Source organism: Homo sapiens, chromosome 11 (assembly GCF_000001405.40).
Source record: "Homo sapiens chromosome 11, GRCh38.p14 Primary Assembly".
Taxonomy (NCBI): Eukaryota; Metazoa; Chordata; class Mammalia; order Primates; family Hominidae; genus Homo; species Homo sapiens.
In genome coordinates, this window is record NC_000011.10 from 79,006,033 (window position 1) to 79,033,474 (window position 27,442).

The window sequence follows — 27,442 nt, forward strand, 5'->3', positions numbered from 1 at the left end:
ATCACCAACAAAAAGAAATGTAGGAACTCTACCTGCTTTCTGGTTCAGCAAAACATGGCCTACAGTAGCCAGGTGATGGGAAGCTATCCCTCTCCTGGGAGGGGAATACTTGCTTTTTGAGGCAGTCATAATGTTTTCCTCACCACTTCTCTTTTCCCCTCCCTAATCAGTACCTCCCTTTCTACCCCCTACTCAGTACCTCCCTTTCTACCTTCAGTTAGAAATTGCAACCCCAAGAAAATGGGTGGCACCTTACCTATTGGGATACCTTCAAGTTGGTTGATGGTCAGTGTCAGAAACTATAAAGATGGAGTATTCATTTTCATGACCCCAAACACATAATAGGATAGCTATGATATACGCAGATCTAAATGTGATGCTCTAGCAATACTAAGAAGGCAGGAAAGTACAGGGCAGGCTCATTTACTGAGTTCAGAACCTTGGTCAGGTATCACACAAGGCATTTTAATATCTGATTCCTGTGAATCTTCACCAAAACTCTATGAGGTGTAGACGTGATTCTCTTATTTAACACACTAGATAACTGAGGCTCAGATAGGTTAAGTCAATCACCACCCAAAGCCACATAGGGTGCATCAGGCCTGGGATATATATCCACCAAATTTAGATATACAGGCACAGGCCTTAAGGCCTACATTAGAAACTTTGCTATCTTTTGTTACAAAGAATAGAGTTGCAGAAAACTCTGAATGTGAAAAAGCACATAGAACATTGAATTTTCTTAGAAGCTTAAAAGATGAGTTCTTGTGATGGTTAATTTTTATGTGTCAACTTGGCTGGACCACAGAGCACAGATATTTGGTCAAACATTATTCTGGATGTTTCTGTGAAGGTGTTTTTGAACAAGAATAACATTTAAATTGGTGGACTTCGAGCACAGCAGATTGCCCTCCTTCATGTAGGTGGCCTTCATTCACTCAGTTGAAGGCCTGAATAAAACAGAAGACTGAACCTCCCCCAAAGAAGAGGAAACCCTGCAGCAGATGGCCTTTGGACTTGGACGGCAACGTTGGCTCTTCCCAGGTCACAAGCTTGCCAGCCTACCCTGCAGATTTTGGGCTTTCATAATCATGTGAGCCAATTCTTTAAAATAAGCCTCTTTCTATATATACAGACATCCTGTTGGTAGTATTTCTCCGGAGAACCCTAATACTGTGCCTAAATGCTATTTGAATGGTTTTACTTGACTGGAGTATGGAAATATTCTGTGATAATATTTTAATAAAATGGGTAGAAAGAGTGGGGGCTGGAGCGGGGAGCAGTAGTAGGGGAAGATGGGAGTTTATTATCCTCACTCTCCGAATGAGAAAACCAGAGCTGAGAGAGAGACTATGTGAGTGATTTCCCTTGGGTGACAAAGCTGACTGGGGGCTAAGCAGGGTGTAGAACACAGGCCTCTTGGAGCCCGTTTAGTGTGGAAAGCAGTGGCTGTGTCAGGCATCCACTGGGGCACTGCAAGCGGTATGCAGGCAATGGACTCCTGACCCATCCTTAGGTCTGGTCGTTGCTAAGAGGCTGCGGAGACCCTTTCCTGAGACAAGGAGTAAGGCAGGCTCCTTCCAGAGGGCTGTGGGTGTCCACTAGCTGGGGCCTCCTCCCCACCTGTCTAGGGGCAGACAGGAAAAGAGCACTCCAGCCAAAGTAGCTCCTCCTCCAACACCCTTCACAACCCCTTTTTCTTCTTGAAGGATAGCCATCTTTCCTAAATCCTCTCCCTTGCTTGGCCAAATCCGTGTACCTTCCTGAAAGAACAGTGGGAAGTTGGCTCTTTATCATGACTATGCACTGCACACTCGGCACAGGCCCATTTCTTCCTTTTTTTCCCACCAGTTCTGCCCTGGATCCCTGTCTTGACTTGATGCCTGGAGTTCTACCAGGCATCACTTAGCAATGCGCCAAGCCACTGGGTTTAAAACAGCAGGGGACTTGAGAGTTTCAAACCCGCAGCTCTTGGTCAGTGAATGGGATTTTTATGAGGCCGCTGGAATCAGTCTTGCATGCAGGGTGCTAAAAATTTTTATGGCTGGCTGGGATTCGTTGGAAGCGCCAAGCTGGAACGTGATGGAGTTACCCATTAGAGAATGTCCCCAGGAAAGTGGGCTTGCATGGTTCCCTGGTACTCAGAGGTGTCAGAGAGCTGGTTTTATGGAAAGCAATTTCCTTAGCAAAGAAAAAATATGCTCCAGAGACAGAGCGATTTCAGCACAAGGGCTCTGCCACCCCGGGTTTAACGGGCTTCCTTAGCAGGCGGTCCCTGGTGATTGCAAAGACAAATGGGTCCTACTCGTTCTGGCTGCCAGCAAACTTTTACTTCCCTTCTTTAGAAACATGTATTTTAAACATAGAATAATAAAAATTTAGAAAAAAAGGAAAATGAACTGTAGTGACATCATTCACACAACACTATTAACATTTTGTTATATATACACATATTTTTGACATAGTTTTGACATAGCTATGATACAGTTTTATACCTTTTGCTTAACATTTTATGATAAACACTTTGAAGCCATGAAAGCCTCTTTGTAGGACTCATTTTAAGTAACTTTATAATATTACATTAGCTTGGTATGCCATAAAGTGGTAGTACTATTTTCCATACTGTGGGATATGGAGCTGGTTTCTGATTTTTTTTTGTGATTATAAATAATGACATCATGAACATCTGGTAACATAAAGCTTTGGTCCTATTTCGAATGAGATCCTTGGAATAGATTTCTAGAAACACAATAATGGGGCCAAGGGATGGACATATTTTAAAGTGTCCTGTTATATATTGCCAAGTTGCTTTCCATAAAGGTGATCAGTTCACATTTCCATCCACCCTCCATGAGAGTGTCTATATCACCACGCCCTTGCCAACACTGAAATCTTTAATATAAACATATCTTCTATGTAATTTGCTAAGTAAAAAATGCCATCTCTTAGTGTTTTAGTTTGCATTTTTGGATTAATAGCAAAGGTGAACATTTTGCTCATTTGTGTATCATCTGTCTGCATTTCTTCTGTTCTATTGGAGTCTTAGTGCTTTCCTGTTTACTATACAAAGGGCTGTCTGCCATATTTGTTACAAAAATATTTTTACCAATTTGTTATTCCTGGAAAACTTTTCAAGCCCAACCCGAACACTAACCCTTACCCTAACCAAGCTGGACACACGTGGGTTTTTAGTTACTCATGTTTAGTTGTACAATGCTTACCCCAAGGTTATCTCAGGTCCCAGCTTTTGGAGGTTTGGTGTTTAACCTTTGGTTAGGTATGTGGGGTACACAGACTGGGCCCAAATTCAGCTTCAGACACTCAAGCAAGTATTTTATTGTTCTTATGAGCCTCACCCCATGTGCCCAGAACCTGGGGATGTGGAGATGAGAAAGGCACAGACCCTTTATGAGCTTGCAGCCTACCTGGAAATAAAACAAGTACACCTGCGACTAGAGTCCAAGGAATGGGGTAATAAATGCCATTTGTGAGGGGTTTGGCCCAACACCTGAGATTCAGGTTCTTTAATTCTACAGAGCATTATGGACAGTTTTTGGATCCTGGGACCCTGATTTTTAGGCCATAGGATCACTTAGTGTTGTTGAGAGGATCCTAGCAATCATTTGCTGAACATCTCCATTTTGCGGATGAGGAAACTGAGGCTCAGAGAGGGCAGGGACTTGACCAACGTCTTGGGGAAAGTTAGTGGCAGGGCTAGTCTGGCATCCAAGCCTCCTGCTTCCCAGTGTAAGCTTTCCCCGAACACTTCAATTTCTTTATATTCCAGTGATATGGTTTGGCTCTGTGTCCCCACCCAAATCTCACCTTGAATTGTAATGATCCCCACATGTCATGGGAGGGACCCTGTGGGAGGTAATTCAGTCATGGGGGTGGGTTTTTCTCATGCTGTTCTTGTGATAGTGATAAGTCTCATGAGATCTGACAGTTTTATATAGGAGAGTTCCCCTGCACATGCCCTCTTGCCTGCTGCCCTGTAAGACCCGACTTTTTCCTCATTCACCTTCCTCCATGATTGTGAGGACTCCCCAGCCATATGGAACTGTGAGTCAATTAAACCTCTTTCCTTTATAAATTACCCAGTTTTGGGTATGTCTTTATTAGCGGTGTGAGAACAGACTAATAGACCCAGTCTTTCCTGTCCTTCTCCTTACCTACCTGGCTACCTTTACATGATACTTTTCATGTGCCAAGCACTAGGACATGGAATTAAAAATACGGTTTCTGCTGCAAAGGAACTCACTGTTTGCGGGGAGAAGGGCTGTGAAGGGGGCAGTGTAAGTACTCTGAGGAATACAGAGTAAGTACTTTGGGCCACTGGGGCTCAGAGGAGACTTGGGGAGGCCAGGGAGGCCGGAAGTCTTCACTGGGCTTCCATTGCTCTGGGGGAGTTTTCCTTAGGGTATTAGTCTGTTATCATGCTGCTAATAAAGACACACCCAAGACTGGGTAACTTATAAAGAAAAAGAGGTTTAATGGACTCACAGTTCCACATGGCTGGGGAGGCCTCACAATTATGGTGGAAAGCAAGGAGGAGCAAGTCACATCTTACATGGATGGTAGCAGGCAAAGAAGAGCTGTGCAGGGAAACTCCCCCTTATTAAACCTTCAGATCTTGTGAGACTTACTATCACGGGAACAGCAGGAGAAAGACCTGCCCCCATGATTCAATTACCTCCCACCATGTCCCTCCAACAACATGTGGGAATTCAAGATGAGATTTGGGTGGGGACACAGCCAAACCATGTCAGGGTTCTAGGGGACAGGAAACCAAGGGAAGGCCAGAGCAAAGGTCCCAGCAGAAAGCCCCTCTTTAGCACCTGTCCACAATGTTTAGGAGAAAGAAGACAGGCTTTAGAGTCAGACTCTGCCCCTTACTAGCTGTGGGTCCTGGAGCAAGTTACTTTATTCTCTGGGCCTTAGTTTTCTGATCTTTAGAATGGGCCACTGGGTTATATGTGAGAAATAAACAAAACACATAGTAGAATGTTTGATGTGTAGTAGGTGTGTTCCCTTCTCTAGTCATCCTTATTAAGCCCTGTTAGAATATTTTCTTTTTGAAACCTACCCTGAATGTATGCTTTAGAAAAGGAAAAACAAAAAACCTTCCGTGAATCCAGAACAGATGGGCCCACGCATGGGCTCTGCCCCACCCTCCCAAGAGGGTGCTCGCTCAGCTTTCTGCTTGCTCCCTTATTGGCTGGGCACTGTTCTGATTCTAGCTCCCTTTTAAGTTGATGTCTGGGCCTCTGAGTTATTCTCTGAGTCAGAATCACAGCAGGGACTGTGTCCTTTCAGGTATCTGCATTTTTCCAAGGCTCTTACATGGGAATTTTGGAGTCCCAGTTCCCAGACCTGTCTTGGCCTTGGTCCTGTTTCTGGGTGCGTTTTCTAGTTGCCTGCCCAAGACTCTCCTAAGCGAGTATTGCCTTGCTTCTGTAAGACCCTCTTCCAAGACTGACCTCCCTGAGGTTCTTGGCTTAGATGCCCAGGTTCCTGAGTGTGGGATGTGGGGCCAGATCCTCTGCCTACACTCTTCCTCCTCTCCAGGAACTGGCTGCTGGTTGGAACCCCAACAGGGGTCTGCACCCCCGCTGGCTTGGCAGCCCCTATCCAGCTTCATGGAGTTGGCTTATGCCTGCTGCCATCTTTTCCCCACTGCCCCACCTGCTGGGAGAAACTTATGGCCTGAAATAATGTAATTTAGAGGAATATTACAACTGGAATCACTAGCACAGTCATCAAGCATAAAGAAGAGTGTGAAATTTCCTCATTAGGGGAGCCTGCCCATCTCTTCTTACTTTTCAAAAATCCAATGACTCTGTCATTCTGATTCAGACTAAATACCGATACAGTTCCTTCTCAGTTCCTTTCTTTAGATGAAACCCCCTTTTCCCTGGATGTAGCCCCCAGCCTATTTCCCACCTCCACGCATCTTTATGTAAAAGTTGGTGGGCAGCAGCCAAGTGGCCTGCTAGAACCCTTGGGACAAACTGCAATCCACGTTGCCAGCCCTGGGAGGATCAAGGAGGAACAAATGCCCAAAGCACATGTCTCCAGAAAAATGAGACCGGCTCCTCTGTCCTGGGGGACGCAAAGTTGAATTTGATCAGCACAATTTCCAGATATTTGAGTTAGAAAGACTCAGAAAAGTCACCATGAGAGTGGCCTCTATTTTTAAGCCGTGTGTATTTGGCTTTTCCCCGACGGCCTCATGTCTGCAATTAGATTCTTCGCCTTGTGGTAGGGCAAGGTTTTCCAAAGCCAAGGTCCTGAAGAAAACAGGAGGTTGCCAGACCATCCTATCTGCTCTTAGGATCTTGCCTGGAAAAGCTTGAAAGATGGGAAGATGGGTGTTGGTGCTTACTGAGTACCTACCATGTGCCAGGCAGTTCCCTCATTTGATCTTTGTAATAACCCTGAGCCCAGGAGAGTACCCTTGTTTCCAAAGGAGAAAATTGAGGCAGTTTTCTCACTGTCTGACACAAAGTGGGTGCTTAATAAATGCTCAATCTGAACTTATCTCCAAGTTCTTGAGAAATGATAAAGTTTTCTGAAAACATGAAGGATTATAATTCTTATTATCAAGGTAGTTTGCTGTGCTGAACGAGATATAGGAGGAGGTACAGGATGATGTTTACTGAGTTTACAGCATATTCACCAGGGGTAGGTGCTCACTGGCCACCACAGGTATGCTCTTCCCTCCAGACACTGACCTGGGGCTGAAAGTGGCTGCTCAGCGAGGACGACCTTTCCCAGCTCCCCTGGCAGCTCCATGGCACCAGTGCACTCCATCTCACAGAACTACCAGAAGGTGTGATTGTTCTCATCCAAGATGGCTAAAAAGTAGCCTTCACCCTTGATCCCTCTTTTGCAGATGACACTGAGGCTCCAGGGGATGGAAGACCAAAGAGAGGAGTCCAGGTTTTTCAGTGATCCCCAACATAAAGAAATGTCTGCTATCAGGAACACTACACCAGACTGATACACGAACAAGATTTATGCAGTCCTTGGAAATGGCTTTCCTACTAATAACTGGCATTATCCTAATATACTCAATGTGGCTGATATTATGGTGCCTCTTTCAGACATTCGGGAAATGGCAACATTCAGGGGGCACGAGAGCTGGTTAAGTGCTTCCTGGTATTTCCTGACTTAGATCCTTCACCAACACCAGCCACCAGACTATCCTCCACCCATTTCCACCTCCCGCATTCCTTGCAACGTCTTCTCAGGCTCTTCCTTGTTAATATCTTACCTATCTTTCCAGATACCCTCCAATTTGCCCCCTCTGGGAAGCTCTGTGTGCCCCTCTCCCAGGCAGAATTAATCCCCTTAAGTCTTTCTATGCTGCTTATCAGACTTGTCCTGTTGTTATATTTTGAAGCTCCTTCCCCCAACCCCCTTCACTGTGTTCTCTGGGCAGGCACCAGGCCCACTGCCTTTCCATCTGCCTCATGGGTGCAGGCCTGGCGCAGCCCAGCAGCCCAATCATGGGGTGGGGAAGTGACTGGAATCTCACACTTCCTCTGGAGCGCCAACAGGGAGGGACTGGTAGAGCTCCTGGAAGGCTGGATGAACAAGATTCCAAGGCCAAATCAGGCTCATGGGAAAGATGGTTATGATCACCCAAGGGTGCAGGAGAAAGCAGCAGCTCCTTGCCTGCCATGAGTCAGCCATTCCAGATCCAACACATACTAAAATTACAGACCAGGAAGTCCTAGAGGAAGTATAACAACTCCTCTGCTGGGCACCCTCCAAAGGCTCTTCAACTGCATCCCAGCCAGAGCCCAGGCCCCCGCAGTGGCCCTCAAGGCCCTCAGAGATCCAGCTGAGTCACTTTTCTAACCACTCTTTAAAATTGCACCCTCCCTCCCTGCTCACTCCCCATCTTATATTCCCGATTTGCCCCTCTTCTTACTTAATTTTTTCTCTATAGTCACTTTTTGACTACCTAACAAAGTCTATGACATTCTTATTGATTTGTTTTCTCTGGGCAGGAACTCTTGTTATCTGTATCCTCAGAGCCCGGCACAGTCTGTGGCACACAGTAGGCAGTCCACAAATATTCATTAAAAGAATAGATAACAAAAGAAGTGAGTGAGCCTGGGACTCATGTCCTGTGCCATTTCGACTATAACAAAAAGCTGCCCTTTTCCTCAGCATCTAACTTAGATGTTGTCATCATGATGCTTGAGCCAAGAGAACCTTAGGAACCATGGCCCAGGCACAGCCAGTTCCCTCTTCCTCCCCACACCTCCCTGGTGATAGAGAGGAAGCCTCTTTCTTAATGCTAATGCTGGCACAGGGGTAGGAGAGGCCACCGGAACTTTGGAATCCATTTATCTATTAATTTATTATCTAATTAAGGCTCACAATGACAGTGCTATTTGTTCCAAAATGCCCTCAGACGAAACCAATACAGCATATGCACATTCTAATCAATTAAAATGGTTCTCCTTAATGTCTGCCTTCAGCAGCCAGTAACTGTTGCACTCCTGGGTCCAGAGCACAAAATACCTTTGCACTTCATTAGGCCCCAAATGGTCTTCATGCACAGAGGCCACCAGGGCTCTTCTGCTTAGAGAGGAGGCAGCTGTTCCAGGATCCTGGGTGATGCATGAACAGGATTCTTTTCAGGGAGAACTGCCTTTCACTTGCCGTTTGCAAATCAAGTTATAACCACAGAGAAAGCCGGTTCTGGGAGACAAGAAGATGGGCAAAAGTGGGCAAGAGTGCCTTAATCTACCACACCTGTAGCCTTGGCCAGGGGCGGTGACTTTTATAACCAGGAAGGCTAAGTGAAGTGGATTTGCAGATAGGTCTCCATGGGATTAATGCTCTCCTGCCTGGACATGCCTCTGCCCCTGCACTAACTTCATTGTTTCACTCTACACAGTTGTAAAGTGTTCCTAAGAATTTGGGAGCCCCTTTAGGATCCACTCATCCCTGTATCTCCAGGCCCTGGCAGAGGGGCACAGGAAGTGTTAGTTGAACTAAACTGAAACATAAATATCTCATTAGGCCATTGGGAAAAAAAGTCTCTGTAAGAAGTGCAGCACAGTAATGATGCTAGTGATCACTAAGGACTTACTGCCTGCCAGGCCCTGTGTGTTAACACATGGAATCCTCACAACAACCATAGAAGGTGGGCATTGCTTTTTATCAACTCATTGTAGGGATGAAGAATTGAATCAGAGCTGGGATTGGAACCCAGGCAGTCTGGCTCCAAGTTCATGGTCTAAGCCACTGCAATCTCAAACACCTTTGCTGCACTGAGTGACGCAGGAATTATTCTCCAATGATGCTCTACTGCCTCCTTAGGTACGAGGAATGCTAGAGGCCACCTCTTTCCATTTCATACTGTGGATCACTAACCTATAGAGAAAAACTACACTGCTGATTTCATGAGAAAAAAAGTCATTTAGTGTGTGTGTGTGTGTGTGTGTGTGTGTGTGTATGTATTCTAAGAAACATTTTTATTGTTCAACTCTCCCACAGTGCAAAACCTATTCAATTAAAACAACAGGTAATAAAAATTATATTGCAGCTTTCTAGTAAAGCCTATTACATGGAAGAACCAGAGAAAGGCGAAAAACTAATTCCACAGTACTTGAGAGTCTGCTGCACTATGTGTCTGGCACTACGCTTACTGCTGGAGGTACCACAATGCATGAAAAAGACATGGTTTCTGCTCTGATGGAGCTTCTAGTTTGGTGAAGAGATAGACAATAAACACAAACAAAACAACCAAAAAGGAATGGTCATAAGTGCTCTGTCAGGTATAAATAAGTAGGACGCCTTGAGAGAGGATACCAAGGCATGAATTCTGATAAGGTGGTCAGAAAAGGCCCCTCAGGAGAGTGAGTTAGATTGGACCTAAAGATGTCAAAAGTGGGTGGAAGAGCATTCCAGGAAGGGGAAGAGCATATGTGTAAAAGCCAAAGGCAAGGGCGAGCCTGATGAGACCAAGGTACTGAGAGTGTGGCTGGGGCATGGTGAGTAGAAGGGTAGGAAGTGAGCTAGAGTGGATCCCAGACAAGGGAGTATTGTAGGCATGGTCAAAGCTCTGGATTTTATTTTAGGAATAAAAAGAAGGTTTTAAGTGGAACACAATGATGCTCTCAAAGATCTATTGTATAGGGGGCAAGAGTGGCAACAAGGAGAAATGTAAACTGGGTATCCCAGCAGCTCAGAGGGGAGATGCTGGGGACTTGACTTAAGGTTATGAGTAGAGAGAAAAGTGAACCTGGGAGACATTTTTGGAGGTGGAACCAACAGGACTTGTTGGTGATTTAGACACAGAAGATGAAGAAAAGGCGAGAATCAAAGATGACACTAGTTTCTAACTTGGGCGAGTGGGTAGATCACTCCATTTACTGAGATGGGGAAGACTTTGGAAAGATAATGGATTTGGGGTCATGATTATGAGTTTTGTTTTAGTTATGTTACGTTTGAGAGGCTACACTTTCAAGCAGAGATATCAACAAATGGTTGGAAACAGAAGTTTATAATTTGGAGGAGGAGTCTAGGCTAAAGATACACATTCGGTTGATATTTAAAGCATGGAAACGAGATTATCTTGAAAGTCAAGGTGGAAACTCTTAAATAACATAACAGGTAATAAAAGAAACAGCATTCATCATGCCCAAGAAAAACTACCCAAATGAAAGTTCATAGTTAATAGCATGTGTGTGAGGAAGTCTTTGGGGGAAGCATTCAGCTTTCAGTCCCATTATTTGGTTCATCAAAAGACCCCAAAGAGATTGAGAGGGGAGGTGAGACTGTGGTCTTGTTAAGAGCATGGTTTGGAGTTAGACAAACCTTGGTTTGAATCCTTTCAACACTTACTTGCTGGGTGACTTTTTGTATGTTACTTTACCTCTCTGACCTTGAGATGCCTCATCTGTAAAGGAGGGACTATAAGACCTATCTCCCAGAGTTGTCATGAGGCTCAATGTGATGTTTATAGATACATAGCATGGTTCCTGGCACAGAGTCAATTTCCAGTGGAACTATAATTATCATTAAGTGGGCTGCATTGAGGTCAGGTGACGAGAATGATGGAGGAGATCAATTTTTTTCTGCTGTGAGCAGAGCAGCCCACCTTTGGTGGGTCAATTGGCCAGCTCTGGGCCTCACACATTCAGAAAGTTGCAAACAGGATCAGTTTAGACATCACACTCTGTGAGGAATGGCTGAAGGAATAGTCTAGATAAAAGAGGCGGAGGCTGGAGGAAGTGGGGTAGGTGGGAGTTTAGTCTCTGCTTTTACATTTCTGCAGGGCTTTTCCAGGGAAGAAATGGCCTTGTTCCAAAGGTGGTGAGAAGAGTGGGTGGCTACTGTCCTGGATACCAGGAAGCAAGTTCTGATGCAGGGCACAGAAGACCTGTTTAGTATGCAACCTCTGAATTTTAAAAAAGGGAAAAAGGCAAAAATATAGACTTCTATTTGCAGAAAGAAACCCTGAGAGGATACACAAAAAAACAAAAAGTGGTTATCTATGGGAAGGGGATAAGGGATGTTGGGAATGGTGGGGGGAGAAGTGGAACTAATACTTTGTAACTACATAGCACTTTATGTTGTTTAACTTTTAAGCCAAGTGAGCATATTACACATTCAAGATATTAAATTAAAAATATAATTGAGGCAAACCTGCAAGCAAGCAGGCAGAAGGCAGGCAGGAAGGAAAGTACATTCTGAGTCTGTGCTCTTGAAATGCGGCACAGGCTGCTTAGGGAGCAGGTCCAGCCTCATGGGCACAGGCCCTGTGTACAGGGCTCAGGCTCAGAAGGGCCTCATCCTTGATTCTAATGCTCTACTGTCACTGTCTTGAAATTCTTAAGTCTTTGAATGTGGAGTCCTGCATTTTCATTTTACACTGGGTTCCACAAATGATGTTAACAGGTCCTGCTGGAGAGGAAAGGTGGTCCTCCCACTTGGGGATGTAAGCTGGGGCTGGAAAACCATTTGGCTGCCTGCTGTGGGATAGTCTCAAGCTGGGGAGGAGGGCTGGGGGATGAGGGCTGGGGGATGAAGCCACTTCTCCATCTGAAATAAAATCTTGTTGCCCAACTGAATGCAAGGACCTCTTAATCCTAGATGTTTGTTACCCTGGAACCCTGAGGCTGGGATGACCACATGTTCCAGTTGGCCCAGGATGATACTGGTTTGTGCCTGTTCTTCCAGTGTAATTATTAGCAGCGATCCCATTCATTCTGAGCCATGTCCTGGTTTGAACAACATATTATCTGGCTACCCTAACCTGAGGTTCTCTTGCCAGCAGCTGGCTCCTTGGTCTGATAGGCCAGGGGTAATCTCATTTCTCTGGGCTGCTTAAGGATCAAGGTTGCTTCCTGGCTCCTGTCCACTATCTCCAGAACCTCCACTCTCACACACATGCACACACACACACACATCCCCCCACACACATCCCTACCCCACATGCCTGGCCTAGCTCACCAGTAAGCTGATTATTTATAATGTGGCAGAAGATAGTTTTAAGATAAAGAAATGGAACTTGGGCCTGATTGAAACAATGTGTGCTTATCTCTGTCTCGGTAGGAAAGAGTGGTCAGAGAGAGATTACTCAGAAGAGGTTTACTTACTTCCCGGAGACCTCTCCCCCACGCTTATTTTCAGAATGGGTTTAATATGTGCATTGTGATTTGAGCCAGGCAGGGAGGGAGAAATGGAAGTGATTCACTCTGGCCATGCTGATCTACATGTTATTCACTGACATTTTTTTAGCCAGACTTTTAAATGAGCAGTCTTAGAATGATAGGGCTGGCAAAGATTATTAAGATTATTTTAGAGATGAGCTAGTACAACTTATTCATTTCACAGAGGGGAAAGCTGAGGACCAGAGAGGAGAGGAGGCTTGCTCCACAGTCTTACAGCTTGGAGCCTTGGCTCCCAGCCCCTCCACCCACCCTCCATCTCTTGGGTTTCTTCTGGGGGACTCCCTATTCCATGGTAGTGGTTTGAATGTCCACTCATGGGGAAGCGAAGCAAAGACTCTACAAAAAATACCCAGAGGCACTTCTGGACAACTAACTTCTCCTCCACACTTCCATGCCTCTGTGAAAGCCACTCCTTCACATGAAATGACATTGCCTGTTTGTACTGAAGACAGTTAATTCCTCCAGGGCCTGGACCTATTACTAGTTTCCTGGAGCCTGGACCAGATCTAGGTAGAGGACGGCAGCAAGGCAGAAGAAAAGATGGAAGTTAGTGCAGCAGCATGGTCACTAACCTGAGCATCCCACTAGACCTTCATTCTCTTACTTCTTTGGGAATGGGGGAAGGAAAAATGGCTACAGTGGAGGTCACAGAGTAGAAGAGCCCATCCTCTCCAAAGCCCAACTCTTCTACCTCTATAACCACCCAGGGTGCCATTTCCCCTCAACTAGCCATAATAGCTGACTCTGCTGAAAAGGCAGAATCATTGTCCCTATCTTTCAGGTTTCTATTTGAATGTCATATCTTCCAGAAAGCCCTCTAAAAGCTAGTTCTTCCTTTACTTTGCTCTCTAAGTACTTTTCCCACATTCTAATTTATTATTTCAGTGAATATTTATTCATCACCCACTATGCACTGTGTTCTATACCATGTACAGGCTCTGTGCTAGAAGTTGAGGCTACAAAGGCAAATAAGATGCCATCATTATCTTCAAGTTTGCAGTCTTGTGAGAGGGGGGTTGAGGAAGTGGAGACACAGACACTATGACATTAGACAGTGAAATTAGAAGGCAGCATTGGGAGTTAAGGGAACATCCCCTCCAAGCAAGATTCCTAGGAGAAACAAGACTTGAATTGCATCTTGAAAGGTAAGCCTGGAGCCTGGGGGTGGGGAATAAAGGTGAAAGTGAAAGACAGGTGCCAAGGCCTTCAGGCACCTGAGTACCTGGTATTCTGTTGCTATTACTTTTCTCAATATCCCACCACCCTGCCAGCCTGTTAGCTTTGTGGAGACTGCCACGGCTCATTCATTTTCTTATCCCCACAATCCCTTGCCCTTTCCCAAAACTCATCACTTCTTTGTTAAATAGAACAGATCAACAATGGCTCTCGCTCAGGGTAAAACAAAGCTTCTTGTCTTCTGGCACAGATGATGTTAGTGTGTGTTACTGATCCAGAGAAATCAAGAGAGCCCCCTTGCTGGAGAGCAGGGCAGCTGGGACCAGCCTTAGCCATCAATTAACACTACTGCAAGATCAACACCGAACACTAATTTTGCAGACACAAAAAGCACTATTAGAAATTTATTTCCAAATGTTGAGCTCATGTCGCTAATTCTGTTTTAATATTAACTATCTCATTTGGCAATTCTATTTCAATAATGAAAAGGTTATCTCTACTGTAAGATAAATAATGAGGAAGACTCACTGGCTTTGACTTGATCATTCAAATTTATGTGTCATTGGAGCTGTATTCTCTATTATGACCCAACAAACTGATTAAATATCAGCCAAGCATGAACAATAGCTTGCAGCTCTAATTCCTCCTTCCCATCCCACCTCTGAAAGCCTTTAAACCCTGGAATGTAAATGCAATTTTTTTTTTCCTGGCATTAAAAAAAACATGAAAAAATTGTATTTTTGACTCTGTTGTCTACTGTTGCTGACAATGTTCAAACCACTTGGGCCTTATTTCTTGTCTGAGATCAGTGATCTATGGGGAAAGGTGTTTCCTAGTTGGGCAAAGGAATCATGGGGTCAGAGGCTTCTTCCTCTTCCCCTGAACTGCTCAGTTCAATTCAACCAACATCGCTGAGCACCTACTCTATGTCAAGCCCAGACCTAGACCTAAGGCCCTAAAGAGAATTCCATAGGGAAAGAAAAACAACTGTTGCTGAACACATGCCTTACTCTTTGGAGTCCCCACAGTACCCTCTGCAGCTGCACACCTAATAGAATGCACAGTGTTGAAATGCCCTTTCCTGAGTGCTTCAGGGATAGAGGATGTGCCTTATTCATCTTTGCATCCCTGCTGGGCCAGCTCAGAGCCTAGCATACAATAGACACTCAACAAATGTTTGGTGGATTTTAACGAATTGCCTGAAATTTTATATACCTTACTGAGTCCTCACAGCCAACCAGAAAGTGACTCTTTATTCTACCCAGCCCTCATCACAACTAAACTTGAGGGTTTCTAAGTCTCTTCTCAAGAATATAAGCATCTGAAAGCAGGAGCCATTTACCATTCATTCACGGGTTCTCAGGAAACTTTTGTTGGATGAATGGCCATGTCTTTTTCAGTGGTTCCTCTTCTATCTAGGACTAGTTTCCTACTGTTTGGGTTCCCTCAGGAGCTAACCCTAAAAAAAGGATTCAAATGCAAGTAGCATCTGAGAGTAAACTACTTATAGGCAAAGGAGTGGGGATGTGAGATAGGGAAGGGAAGGCCCCTAAGAATGGGTGTGTTGCAGAATTGTGCCATCAGATGGTGGGCGGGGGAGCTGGGGTATTTATATGCCTGCCCATCAGTTATTTGTTGGGGGCTGCTTCCAGGGGGTGTTCATACCTTTTCACTTCTGATCTGCTCCATGTATGGGCAAAGCTGCCTTTAGAGGCCAGAAAGAGCTTCAGGAGAAGAAAGTAGACTTGGAAGTTGGGCTGGCTGTACTGAAATGGTCATAGGGTATAAATGGGGTGCCCACTGCCACAGCTGCAGGTGAGTAATTGTGATCACATGATGATGTGGGATGCCTCCAGAACATTCAAAGGGAAAGTGAGACACTCATAGGTCTGGAGGTTAGATAAGAGGACATCAGAGATTCCTTACAGTACTAACATTCTAGAATGCCATGACTTCAGCATACTGGCTTTTAAAGTACAAATCACCTTCAGAAGAAAATCCCTTTGTCTTTGGGTTGAGCAAGTAAAAGACCCAGGGAGAGGTGTGTGTGTGGCATGAGGGTGGCAGAGGATACGCAGACAATTTGGCTCAATCGTGCTGTCTCTAGAGAAACCAAGGGACATTGATGGTGAGATAACCCATAGTCATGGAGAGATGGATGGCTTAAGTCCTAACATAAGCGTTAGGGAGGTCCAATCACCTTGCTGGCCTCCACCAAATAATCTGATGCTTTACCGACCACCTATTTCACATCAGGCACTGTGTTTCACTCTTCACATATATGAATTTGTATTATTTAATCTTCACAGCAACCTTGGAAGATGTTATAAAGATACCATTTTGCAGATGATGAAACTGAGGTTCAGAGAGGCCCAATAGTCGACACAAAACCAAGGTGGGAATGTGAATCTGTTTTTCATTCCGTGACCCTGTGGTGCCCTTCTCTACAGCTGTTCATCCACAGACCTTCAAAGGATGTGCCACCAGTCTCAGCTATGCAGTAAACAGTCCCGGCAAAGGATCTTTGTGCAGATTTGTGATTAAAGGCAAACAAGATAATGAGTCCCAGGACCAGGGGAGAGCAGTCCGCACTCTCATGCATTCCTCAATTCACATGGCCCTGGAAACCTTTCAGTGTGGCAGTGGCTGTGGCAATCACTCTGCCAACTGCAGAATAAAGGGTCCTGTCTGGAAATGCAATTATTTCCAAATAAAAGGTTTTTAAAAGACACACACGATAGCATTTTTGGTTTTCAGAAACTGATATACCAAATAAGGACAAAAATTAACTTTGTAAAAAATGAAGATGATGAAGACAATGAAGAGATGGTGATGATGATGATGGATGAAGATTGTGGTGATAAGCATGATGAATATATTGAGAAGGTGAAGATGATGAAGATGAAGATGGTGATGATGATGGTAGCAGCAACCACCATTTTCTGAGCACATAAATGTGCCACTCACTATGTTGGCTACTCTATAGACATTATCTCTAATTATTACAATAACCCTGTAAGACAAAGTTTAGCACCTCCATTTAACACATGAGAAACTGAAGCTCAGAGAAGTGAAGTAACCTGCCTGAGGTCACAACCTTAGGCATGAAAAAGGATTGACAGAGATTACTGCTTGAATTATTACTCCAAATCCTGTGCCTCTAACCACTAACATAACCACTTCATTTGTTTACTCCTTCATTTATTTAAAAAATTTATTCATCTATTGAATGAATGTTTACTTGGTCTCAGATATACCTATGATACCTGCTAGACCTTCCTAATCCCCATTTGTCAAGAAAATGCCACCACCCTCACATTAGGGATAAATGAAAATGAGGGTGAATTATATTCAAATCAAGGTTTATCAGCCTGGCGTGGTGGCTCATGCCTGTAATCCCAGCACTTTGGGAGGCTGAGGTGGGAGGATCACCTGAGGTCAGGAGTTCAAGACCAGCCTGGCCATCATGGCAAAACCCCGTCTCTACTAAAAAAATACAAAAATTAGCCGGGCGCAGTGGTGTGCACCTGTAATCCCAACTACTCAGGAGGCTGAGGCAGGAGAATCGCTTGAACCTGGGAGGTGGAGGTTGTGGTGAGCCAAGATCATGCCACTGCACTCCAGCCTGGGTGACAGAGAAAGGCTCTGTCTCAAAAAAAAAAAAAAAATCATGATGACTCTTTCTACAACTAGTGTGAAAAGAGCTATCAATTATTTTTCAGCTCCTATAAGCTAATGACAATTATCTGCTTCACTGTTAATTAATGTGGCAGTAAAAAGCTACATAGTAATTGGTTGATAAAGAGAAGCGTGTGCTCTAGGCAGAGGGCCCAGTGGACCAGGGTGGGTGGATACCAGGAAGAGCTCCTGAAGGCTCTTAGTGCTGGGCCAATACTGGGGAACAAACATGGCTGGACAGTTGGGCAGTACTCACTACCTGGCTATTCCCTGATGTGGCTTGATAGGCAGGGGTGGGCCTCATTCTTTGGCATTTACTAAGTGCCACTACCAGATACGATGGCACCTACCACGAAAGAAACATTAAGCATTGCTAGAACTATTTCACAGTTCAGAGAAGTTAAATAACTTCTTTAAGGTCATTCAGTTAGAAAGTAGGGGAATTAAGATTCAACCTGATCTATGAGGTTTGTAAGTTTTCCCTTAGAGTTGCCATAAATAGAGATATCCTTCCCATCCCCTGTGTAGTGGGAAGGACGAAGACAATGAACGACTTGGAGAAAGTTTGGAAAAGGTCTGGTGGCCAGGGTACCTGGCCCAGTTCCACCACTGACTTAGAATGTCCACCTGCCTGTAACACCTCTGTTGGCTGTGCCTCAGGATCTTTACCTAGAATGAAAAGTGATTGGCCTGTGGTCTGTCTCAGTTCCATTCCAGCCTCCCTAGACTTCCAAGACCCTGGTTTACAGTTTGCTCAACTATTCTTTAACACATCTGATCATGAGAACTACTCTAGCAGAGAGGGGGGGCAGCATGGGTTGTTTATGTACTTTACATGGAAGGACTTATGATATTCTAAAGCTATTCACATCCAAGAAAACACATCTCTGGAGTAAGCATGTAACTCAATGGAAAAGTCAGATTTAATATATAGAAAATTGGTTTACACCATAAAATCAGATATATGGCCTTGTACTCTCTCATTCCCTGCCTAGATCATCTGTGTACATTTTTTTCTCCTCAATAAGAAGGTGAGTGGATTGAGAGTATTGCTTCTTTTGCATCCTCCATAGACTCTAGCATACCCCTGGGCATGGAAAGGGATTGACACACATTGTTGCTTGAATTATTACAAAGAGTAATGTTTCAGCTCGTGTGTATGGTGCCTTTATGTATTACTGCAGAGTTCACCTTGAGCAATACTGAGAATACTATCCTCATTTTCTACAGAAGGAAATGAGGGCTCAGAGGAGCCAAACAGTTTGGCCAAGGGCCACACACCAGAAAGCAATGGGTCTAGGCCTCTTGATTCTTACCCGGGGCTCTTGTCACCAGCATCTTAGAGAGAGACCAATTCCTCCCTCAGAAGAAGGGGGAAGATGTTAGGATATGCCTCTCTTGAAGACAGCAACATCCCTTGAAAAACCTGCCGGAGGCAGCATTTTGAGAATTGGCATGCTCCTTTGGGAACCCCTGGAGGATGCCAGGGGAGGAAGGAAAGGGATGGGGAGACTCTTCCAGTTCAAAGAACCCCCACTTCTTGCCATAAGATTTGGCTAAGTACCCCTCTGTCTCTCACACTAGCCTGAGAATTCCCTGAGACAGGGTAGGGGTCATATTCATGTCTATTTCCCCTACCCCTATCACATCCAGGAAGACTTGGCATAACACTGGAATGAATGAATGAATGAATGAATGAATGAATGAATGAGTGATTCAGTCTGCCAGAAGGGGACATCTAGAGGCTTTCACATAGGTGTGGCCTAACAGGCCCTAAGGACGGTTCTGCGCTTTTTAATAATAATTAATAATAATAGACATCCCCCTAGCTCCGTGAAGTTTTGTAAACACTTCTGTAGGACAAGGATTATCATCTCAGTTTGGGAGATTTGCCCAAGGCCATGGAGACAGCATAAGTAGCTATCATTTAATGAGCTTCCTGGTAATAGCTCATTTAGCCTTTGGCAAGGATAGATACTCTGTGGTAGGTATTATTATTATCTCTATTCTCTGGATGAGGAAACTGAGGTTGCAGAAAGTAGCCTGTGTAAGGTCCCATGGGCAGTCATTTTATGTAAAGCCAAAAGGATCTGGCTCCCCAGTGTGGGCATTTGCTCTTTACGGCTAATCTGCCTGAATCAACATTCCTGAAGCTTGGAGTGGGATGTCCTAATGAGGTGCTGTCAGGCTGACAACTCTCTGCTGAATGGAGGCTAATTGGGAATTTTACAGGAACAACAGGAACAAACCCGATCTCTCTCGATTACAATGAATGTGAATCTGTGTGTGTGCTACGGGGCTGGCTCCGGGACACATGCACTCTGCTTGTGAGTGTATGTGGGGGAGTGTTGTGTATGCATGTCTACTTGTCTTCCCTGAGGAAAAAAATACAACAGACCCATCCAGTTCTCTTTTCTTAAATATTTCTAGATGCTGTAAGCCTTCGATTCTCTGTGCTCCAACGAGGGCAACGATGTCAGTGATCACAGCATGTGTGAGCAGGATTCAGGGCAGTGCCTGGCCAGGTGTGAACACGAGGGCAAATGTCCCAGTTCTGAAAGGAATTACAGGTGGTACAGTCGATTTTGTTATGTATAACATTCATTAAGGGTATTCTACCAGTCCTACATGACCCTGGGTGTGAGGCCAGAAATAGTTAAAAATGTAACAGTGATTACAGTAAAACCAACTTGAAAGGGTTGTTCAACCAGGCACTGTTATCTCAGGGAGAAACAAAAGCAAACGTGTGCAGATGGAATTCAAGGCAGAGCTCTTTCTGACAGTGATCAGGTAGCAGGGAACTAACAATTGCCCAAGGAAGCGAGTGGAAGGAAGGCTTAACAAGAGCGCCATGGACACAGTGCATAGGACTATTTTCTACCAAAGGCATCTGGTAGGAAAAGGAATTGAGCAGGGAGGACATCTTCCAGCCCTTCAAAGTCAAACTTTGGAGAGATCAGACGTCCTAGAACCTAATCAGTGGTGTTAGAAGTAGTACTTTTAGTGCTTTTTTGAATATCTACTTTGGGTCAGGCACTGTTGGGTCCTTTCTATGAATTACTTCAGCTACTTCTCACAGCAACCAAGAAAGGGTATTATTAGTCCAGCTTCGCAGAGAAGGGATTCAATCACTCCTTGTTAGGTTGAATGAAGTACTGGGTGGTCTGATCCCCAAACCTTACAGAGTGGCTTCCTTCACAAAATGAATTAATCAAGATGATCACGCAGCAGAAAAGCCAGCTTCTTGGACTCTGGTAAAAGGGCAAAACAAATAAATTTCCTGGGATCCTTCCATCCAAACAACCCTGTGCAAAGCTGGCCACTCTATATAGATTCTAACAGAGAGAGAGAGAGAGTTCATGTGAGTAAGTGAGTGGGCTAGGGAGGCAGTGAGATCTGTGAATCAGTATCCTGGGTGTTCTAATACTTCCTACTGAGTTCCTACACACTCCCATGTGTAATTTAAGGGGTTAAGTGCTGAGCGTGGAGGCAGAGAAGAAGTAAATGTGGGTTGAACAAGAGACTTAAACTTGGAATTATCCAGACTTAAAAGTTCTAAAAAGGAATGCTGTAAAATTTAGGGGAAGAGGATAGGGCAGAAAATGCTTCTAACAGTAGGTTTGTGGTTTGTGGCTTCCCTTCTGAAACCACAGAGGGCTAGCACTTCAACCCAAATTAGAGCCCAAAGATTCACGCAGTCACCAAGTTTCTGACCTGGTAGAGTCTTAGAGATCCTAAGTCCTGATTCCCATCTATATTTCTAAATGAGGCTGAAATTGGGGAATGTGGACTTTCCCTGGATCACACAACTCTTCTGTGGCAGAGCCAGGATAAGATGCTCTTTGAGTCAAAGTCTAGTAGTTTTTGGCTGAGAGCGATGTAGGTTAGGTGGCCACAGGGCCTAGACCCTAGCAGACCATCCTTTGTCACTGTGCCAGAAACTGGCATTCTCAGCTGCATCCTTAGTTTCCTGCCTTCCCAAAAGCTCTGAGCAGCTGAGATTTGTGCATTGGTGCAAATGATTTTTTCCTTTGCTCAGTCTTGTTCAACACAGTCACCTCCTCTCGAATCCATATCTCTCATTTCCTTGGACATTTCTTCTCTGGCCTTCTGTGAACACCAGCCAGCTTAGGGCTTTCCATAGGAGACATATTTCATTCAGGCATTCCCTGAAAAGTGTTCACCAGAGACCTGTCAAGACTCCACAATAGCTAGACCTATCTGTTCAGCTGGTGCCTGTTGGGCTACAGGCATGTGTTAGATTCTTAACACCGACTGAGCCTCAATTCAGCCCCCTAACACGCTTGCAATGTAGGTACTATGAAGCCCATTTTACAGGTTAGGAAACTGAAGCTCAGTTGGGTTCACTCACAGGAAGGTCATAAAGCTAGCACATGGAAGAACCTCAAATAAACCCTGAGAAGCCATAGATTGTAGTGGTTAAAGGTCTGTTAGGCCAGACAGTATGGATTTGAAACCCAACTCTGCCACTGTGTGACTATGTGACCCTTGGCAAGTTGCTTAAGTTTCCTGTACCTCAGTTTCCTCACTTGTGAAGTGGGGATAAGTAACAGAGCAGTTGTAAAGATTTAGGGAGAAGATAAATATAAAGCACTGAAAACACTGTAAGAGCCCAATAAATATGAGTTGCCATTATTATTATATTATCTCAAGACTATGTATTTTCCACTGTTTAATGCTGCTCAAACCCATCTGAAGTATGCTTGTCCTAGGTCAGCTTCCCTGGGAAATAAACTCTGAAATGGAGATTTGCTGGCAGGAGGCTTCTTGCTCTCATGAGCAACCCCTGTAAGGGAGGGAGAAAAGCAGAACTGGGCAGAGGGAGAACTTGAGCTACAATGCGGCTGCAACACAGGCCTCAGCCAATCTTTTCAAGAGCTCTGGAGCTGGGCTGGCCTTTCAGAGTTGTCTCAAATTGGGTCAAGAAGGTTGGGTCTTTGTAATCCTCACTCCTACTCCCACCTTTCACATGGAGGACTCACTGGTGACAAGCTGCCTCCAGGGATGGGTCTTAACCTTGGGCTGGGCAAGGCAGCTCCTTTCAGGGGAAGACAATTCTCAGAGAATGAAGTAGCTGTGGGCTGTGAACTGCTGGTCTTGGGTAGAATCTGGGTGATACACCACAGCATCCACTATAATCCTGAATAGCAGAAGGGTAGGTATTACCCGCTCTCCAAGGCAAGGTTGGTGTTAGTATAGTTGCAAAGATATTGTGTGGGGCACTAGTTAACATGCAATTTTTTGAGTTCAATTTTAGAAGTATTGTTAGTCATAATCTCTGGGTAGAAGGCTCAGGACTCTGAGTTTAACAAGCACACTAAGTGGTATGTGTACACCATTAAGATTGAGAACCAGTGCCCTAAAGAGTCTTGAGAAATTGGCCATAAGTGGTCATTTCAATAAATTCTCATCTTAAGAATTTACTCACATTTTGCATCCTTTCAAAATATATTTTTTAATACAAAAATATTTTTCCCCTCGCATCTTCAGAAATACAGGCCATCGTTACCTCTCTGTCAATCTCTGCACAGGCCAGAGAATACTCTCATCGCAGTTTGAGAAGGCTGGCTGCCTCTTTTTGACTATCTTTACTATCTGCTGGGGATGCAAACAAAGTAAGATCCAGCCTCTGCTCTTAAGGAGCTCAAAGTCTAGCGGAGAGCTAATACACAAGGCATCTTCCAGAACTGCAATCTTTCCCCTGGCCTCCTCCGCCTGCTAGATTCACCTGCTTTCAAATTTGTTTTCTGGGAGCCGAATAACCAATGCTCTTATGGAGTTAGCAAATTTGTTTTTCCCAGGACTGCCACCTCCCCACCCTCAATCAATTTCTTTGTGTCTGAGGGCAGTGTATGGCTGGTTTAGTTTCTCCTGTGTCCATGTTCTCTACTTTCTGAATCATTAAATCATTCTCGTCCAAATACAGCAATCTATTTCATCTTAGAAGCTTGGCTGTCTTGGAAACCCAAGAGCCCCTGGGGGAGTGGAAGGCCCAAGAGAACTGAGTGATTTAGAACTCCTCAAAACCAGGCCTCAACATTTCTCAGTCTCATTCCCAGAGGGGCCTTCGCAGTTGGAATCTTAATTCAGAAAGTGCCTTCCAAGTTGGAAGGCAAAAGAAACACGGGGAGGGCATAAAACGGGACAAGAGTGACTTGGTATTTGTGACAAGTAGCTTTCTCTATCCAGGTGGGCTCTTCTCCAGGAAGCCCTATTAATAACATATTCACTTCGGTAACAGCTTTTATTTTGAGAAATCCCCGGGTCCTTTATGGGGAGAAATCATATCACCTGACAATGAACTTGATCTGCTGAACAGGGTAAGTTAACAGCTGTTAAACAGCTGCATTGCTCTAGCCCAGGGAAAGGGAGGTTTAGGGCCTTGAAAGGATCTAGGGAAAGGTAATAGGCAGAACCCCACCCAGTTCAATGGGAGGCAATCGGAATCCGCCCTGGATTAAAAGCAAGATTCCTGTCTACTTTTCATTCGGCAATCAGGCATGTAATCAGAGGAAGAGACTAGGAAGCTGAGAGGAACTTGGGGCCAGAGCTGGTGTTGACTGAGCTTTTCATGTACCAGGTACTGTGCTAAGCCACTTACATGGATTATTTGATTCCTCACACTGATGGGAGGATGTAGCTTTGATATTATCCTCATATATATAAAGGGAAATTGAGCCTCGAAGAAGTGAAGGGACCAGCTCAGGTTTACCTGGTGGGTAAGGGGAGCCCAGGTTGGGTTCCCAAGTCCTCACTTGAAATCAGGAAGTTTCAGAAGCCCTCTCTCACTGCCTTGGCTGAGATGCTAGGTTGGGAGCCACCCTAGCTTGATTCTATGGGAAGGCTGTGCTGCTATCAAAAAGCTAGAGTCATTTCGGCTGGACATACCACCAATGAAACTCGGCAGCAGGCAGGGAGGAGAGACAGCTCCCCACTGGATATCTGGCAGCCTGTCCTTCTCAGGGTGTCAGTCCTCTCCAATTTTAGAAATTTCCTCGAGCTGCATGCCAAGCAGAGTGAAGCCGTGTGCTGCTCAGGCAGGACTCTTGGTGGATGATTTATGGGCCCCGTATCCTTCCACAATCCCCAGGAAGGAGTGATCCTTCTTACTTACTGCCCAGCCCAGCCGACTCCTGTCAAACAGCCTCGGCAGACCTCCTTAAACGACAGTAATTCTCCTACCAGGAGGAAGCCAGGGTGACAGATTTCTGACCAAGATCCAGCGCCCCTGAGAAGCCTCTCAGCAGGCCCCCGCCAAGGCCCTGCTGGATATAGATGGGGCGTAGGATGGAAAGCACCAGAGAGACCCAGGAGACAGAGGCAAAAAGAGGAGCGAGACAGAGAGAAAGTGGGGGGAAGGCAGAGAAGGACAGAGAAAGGAGACACGAAGGTGGATAAAGGGACATATATGTGGGTGATCGATTATTTGACGAAAGCCTGTCCCTCCCACTGCATTGTAGGGACCACGTCTTGTTTTGCTTAATCTTGTATCCGTAGCACCCAGCACAGTGCCTGACATGGAGGAGGGGCTCAGAAGTACTTAGCAAATGATGTCACAGATAAAGAGATGTAAGGATACAGACAGCACAAATCCTGGCACATTAGAGGAGCTCAGCAAAGGCTCGCTGACTGACAAAATGCCTACATACAGATAATGTATTTGGGGCAGGGGAGATACCCAATTTTCAGGACAGGAGCCCAAGTAGATTCAATAGGGAAAAGAAGTAATGAGAGATGAAGGCTCATAGGCAACAGCTGCACCCAACAGATGGTCCAGGCTAGGGTCTGAACCTGGGAATTTAAAGCCAGGGTGGGGAGTCAGCAGGGAAAGGAGCTTTCTCATAGGCACCAGGAAGCCAGAAGCACACCTTCAACCTCAGGATCAGAGAAGGAGAAGGGCAATCAGTGGTAGGGTAGAGAGCTCACCGCTGCTGTCTCAGAATCCAGCACCGATCCAGGCATGCAACAGGCATGCAGCAGAAGTTTGCTTAATTAGTGAATGAGTACAGAATTGTGGGATAAGAAGGTCAAGGTGAGGGGTTTAGGACTGTACCTGTGGAAGGACAGTGGGACTTGTGAGGCGGGCACAGAGGCTTAAAGGGGCATGCTGGGTTGGACATGCCCTCCCTTAAGACTTGGTGCCTCTGGGCAAACGTGAGTGAACGTTGCTTCTACTTTCATGCTAGGGCATTGGTTCTTAACATGAGCAATTTTGCTATCCAGGGGGTCATAGAGCAATGTTTGGAGACATTTTGGACTGCCACAACTTGGGGAAAGGGTTACTGGCATCTAATGGGCCAGAGCCAGGGATGCCACTAAACATCCTACAATGCACAAGACAGACTCCACAACAAAGCGTTGTCTGGCTCCAAATGTGAGGGTTGAAAAGCCCTTTTCTGTAGCCTATGGGAGTACCACTGCTCCCTTGATCCTGAATCTCAGGCCTCACTTAGATGTATTTTAGTCACCATAATTAAGATTACTACCATCAGTAAAGATTTATTGAGTACTGACACATATAAGCAGATAACTACCATCTTGTACTTTTGTTCCTTAAAACTGATGACAGGGGTTTGGGATTCAGAGAAGGCCAATGGGAACACAATCCATTGTACAGTCCAGCTGGAGATGTGAGATCACAGCAGTAATCACCCTGAGGCGGGGGGCACCAGGCCGGGGACTTCCCTTTAGCCTTCTGGAATTTGTAACCCTGGATGTAGACCTCGAAGGGTCCATAGGAGCCTCTTGTCCCCCTGCTTTATCTTACAGGTGAAGCAGCTGAAGTCTGAGAAGAAAATGGCTGTCCAGGGTCACAGGGCAAGTACAGGCCTGGAAGCACAGATCTCCGGACTGCCAGCCTAGTGCTTTTTCTATGAGAAAGAGCCTCTGGTGATATAAGTTTCTAAAAGGCGCCTCCTGCAGTGAGAAGTGTGTGATAGGCATGAATGACGTGAAAGCCTTTCAAATGTCCAGGTAATCAGGCGCCGTTCCCCTTAGACTGACCACTGCTTAGGGAGCCAGAGCCTACTAGAAGGTTCTGGTGGGAGTCTGTGGCTCATTCACCTTCAACAGAAAGATAATTGCTTGAAGATACTGTATTTAAGCATTCATGGGGGATCCCCCTAAGATCCAAAGAACAACATGACTTTAAAAGAGTTAGAATACTTCTCCCCTAATGTCCCAAGGAAAGGCGATACTAATAAATGAAAAGATGAGCACCACAAATAGGGACTGATATTTTTTTCCCCATTCCTCAGGCCCCTGAGAATTATTTTCACGACAAAAAGTTGTTATTCACTTGTCCAGGGAGAACATGCTGGTGACTGGCTTATTTGGAGTGGAAATTAAAGACCACAGGCTCAGCCAGAGAAGTGGGGTCATCTAACAAGTCACAGAGCAGTAAAATTCCCTCTGCTCCTCAACCTCCCTCCACCTGGAGACTGTTCCTGCAGCATCTACCCTCTAAGGCATTTTTATCCCCACTCCTCAGGGAAGAACTAAATCTGTACCACTTGATGACCTACTAGATATCTATGCAAAGACCCCAATATGTAATGAATTTGTTTATTGGGTCACCCTTCTTCTCCTCTAGACTGCGAGATCCATCCCTAGTGCTTGGCACAGGGACAGCCATACAGCAGGTGCCCAATAAGTATTTGTTGATTTGTCAAAACCAGGTTCCTGGAGGTCAAGTTCCTAGGGGAAAATGTGCACACCAGAGGAGAAATGGGGTATGTGTGCTGGGAAGGAAGAATTAAGTTCTGTTTTCCTGTCCTGCTTGTACCCAAGAAGGAAGGATACTAATATTTCCTGATCTCCTACTCTGCACAAGGCACTTACACTCACAGGGTTAGTCCTCCCAACAA

General features: G+C 45.1%; 1 protein-coding gene across 9 annotated transcripts in view, besides 1 other annotated feature; it reads right to left on the bottom strand.

The window, feature by feature from the left end:
- Positions 1–27,442, bottom strand: part of TENM4 (teneurin transmembrane protein 4) — a 788,202-nt gene that overhangs the window by 353,204 nt on the left and 407,556 nt on the right. The gene's annotated exons all lie outside the window — the stretch shown is intronic.
- Positions 19,430–20,074: an enhancer, noted in NCBI's record as "OCT4-NANOG-H3K4me1 hESC enhancer chr11:78736507-78737151 (GRCh37/hg19 assembly coordinates)". NCBI's record gives its function as "activates a minimal SCP1, AML or CMV promoter by ChIP-STARR-seq in naive H9 embryonic stem cells {active_cell/tissue: H9 hESC(naive)}" and the evidence as "EXISTENCE:reporter gene assay evidence [ECO:0000049][PMID:30033119]".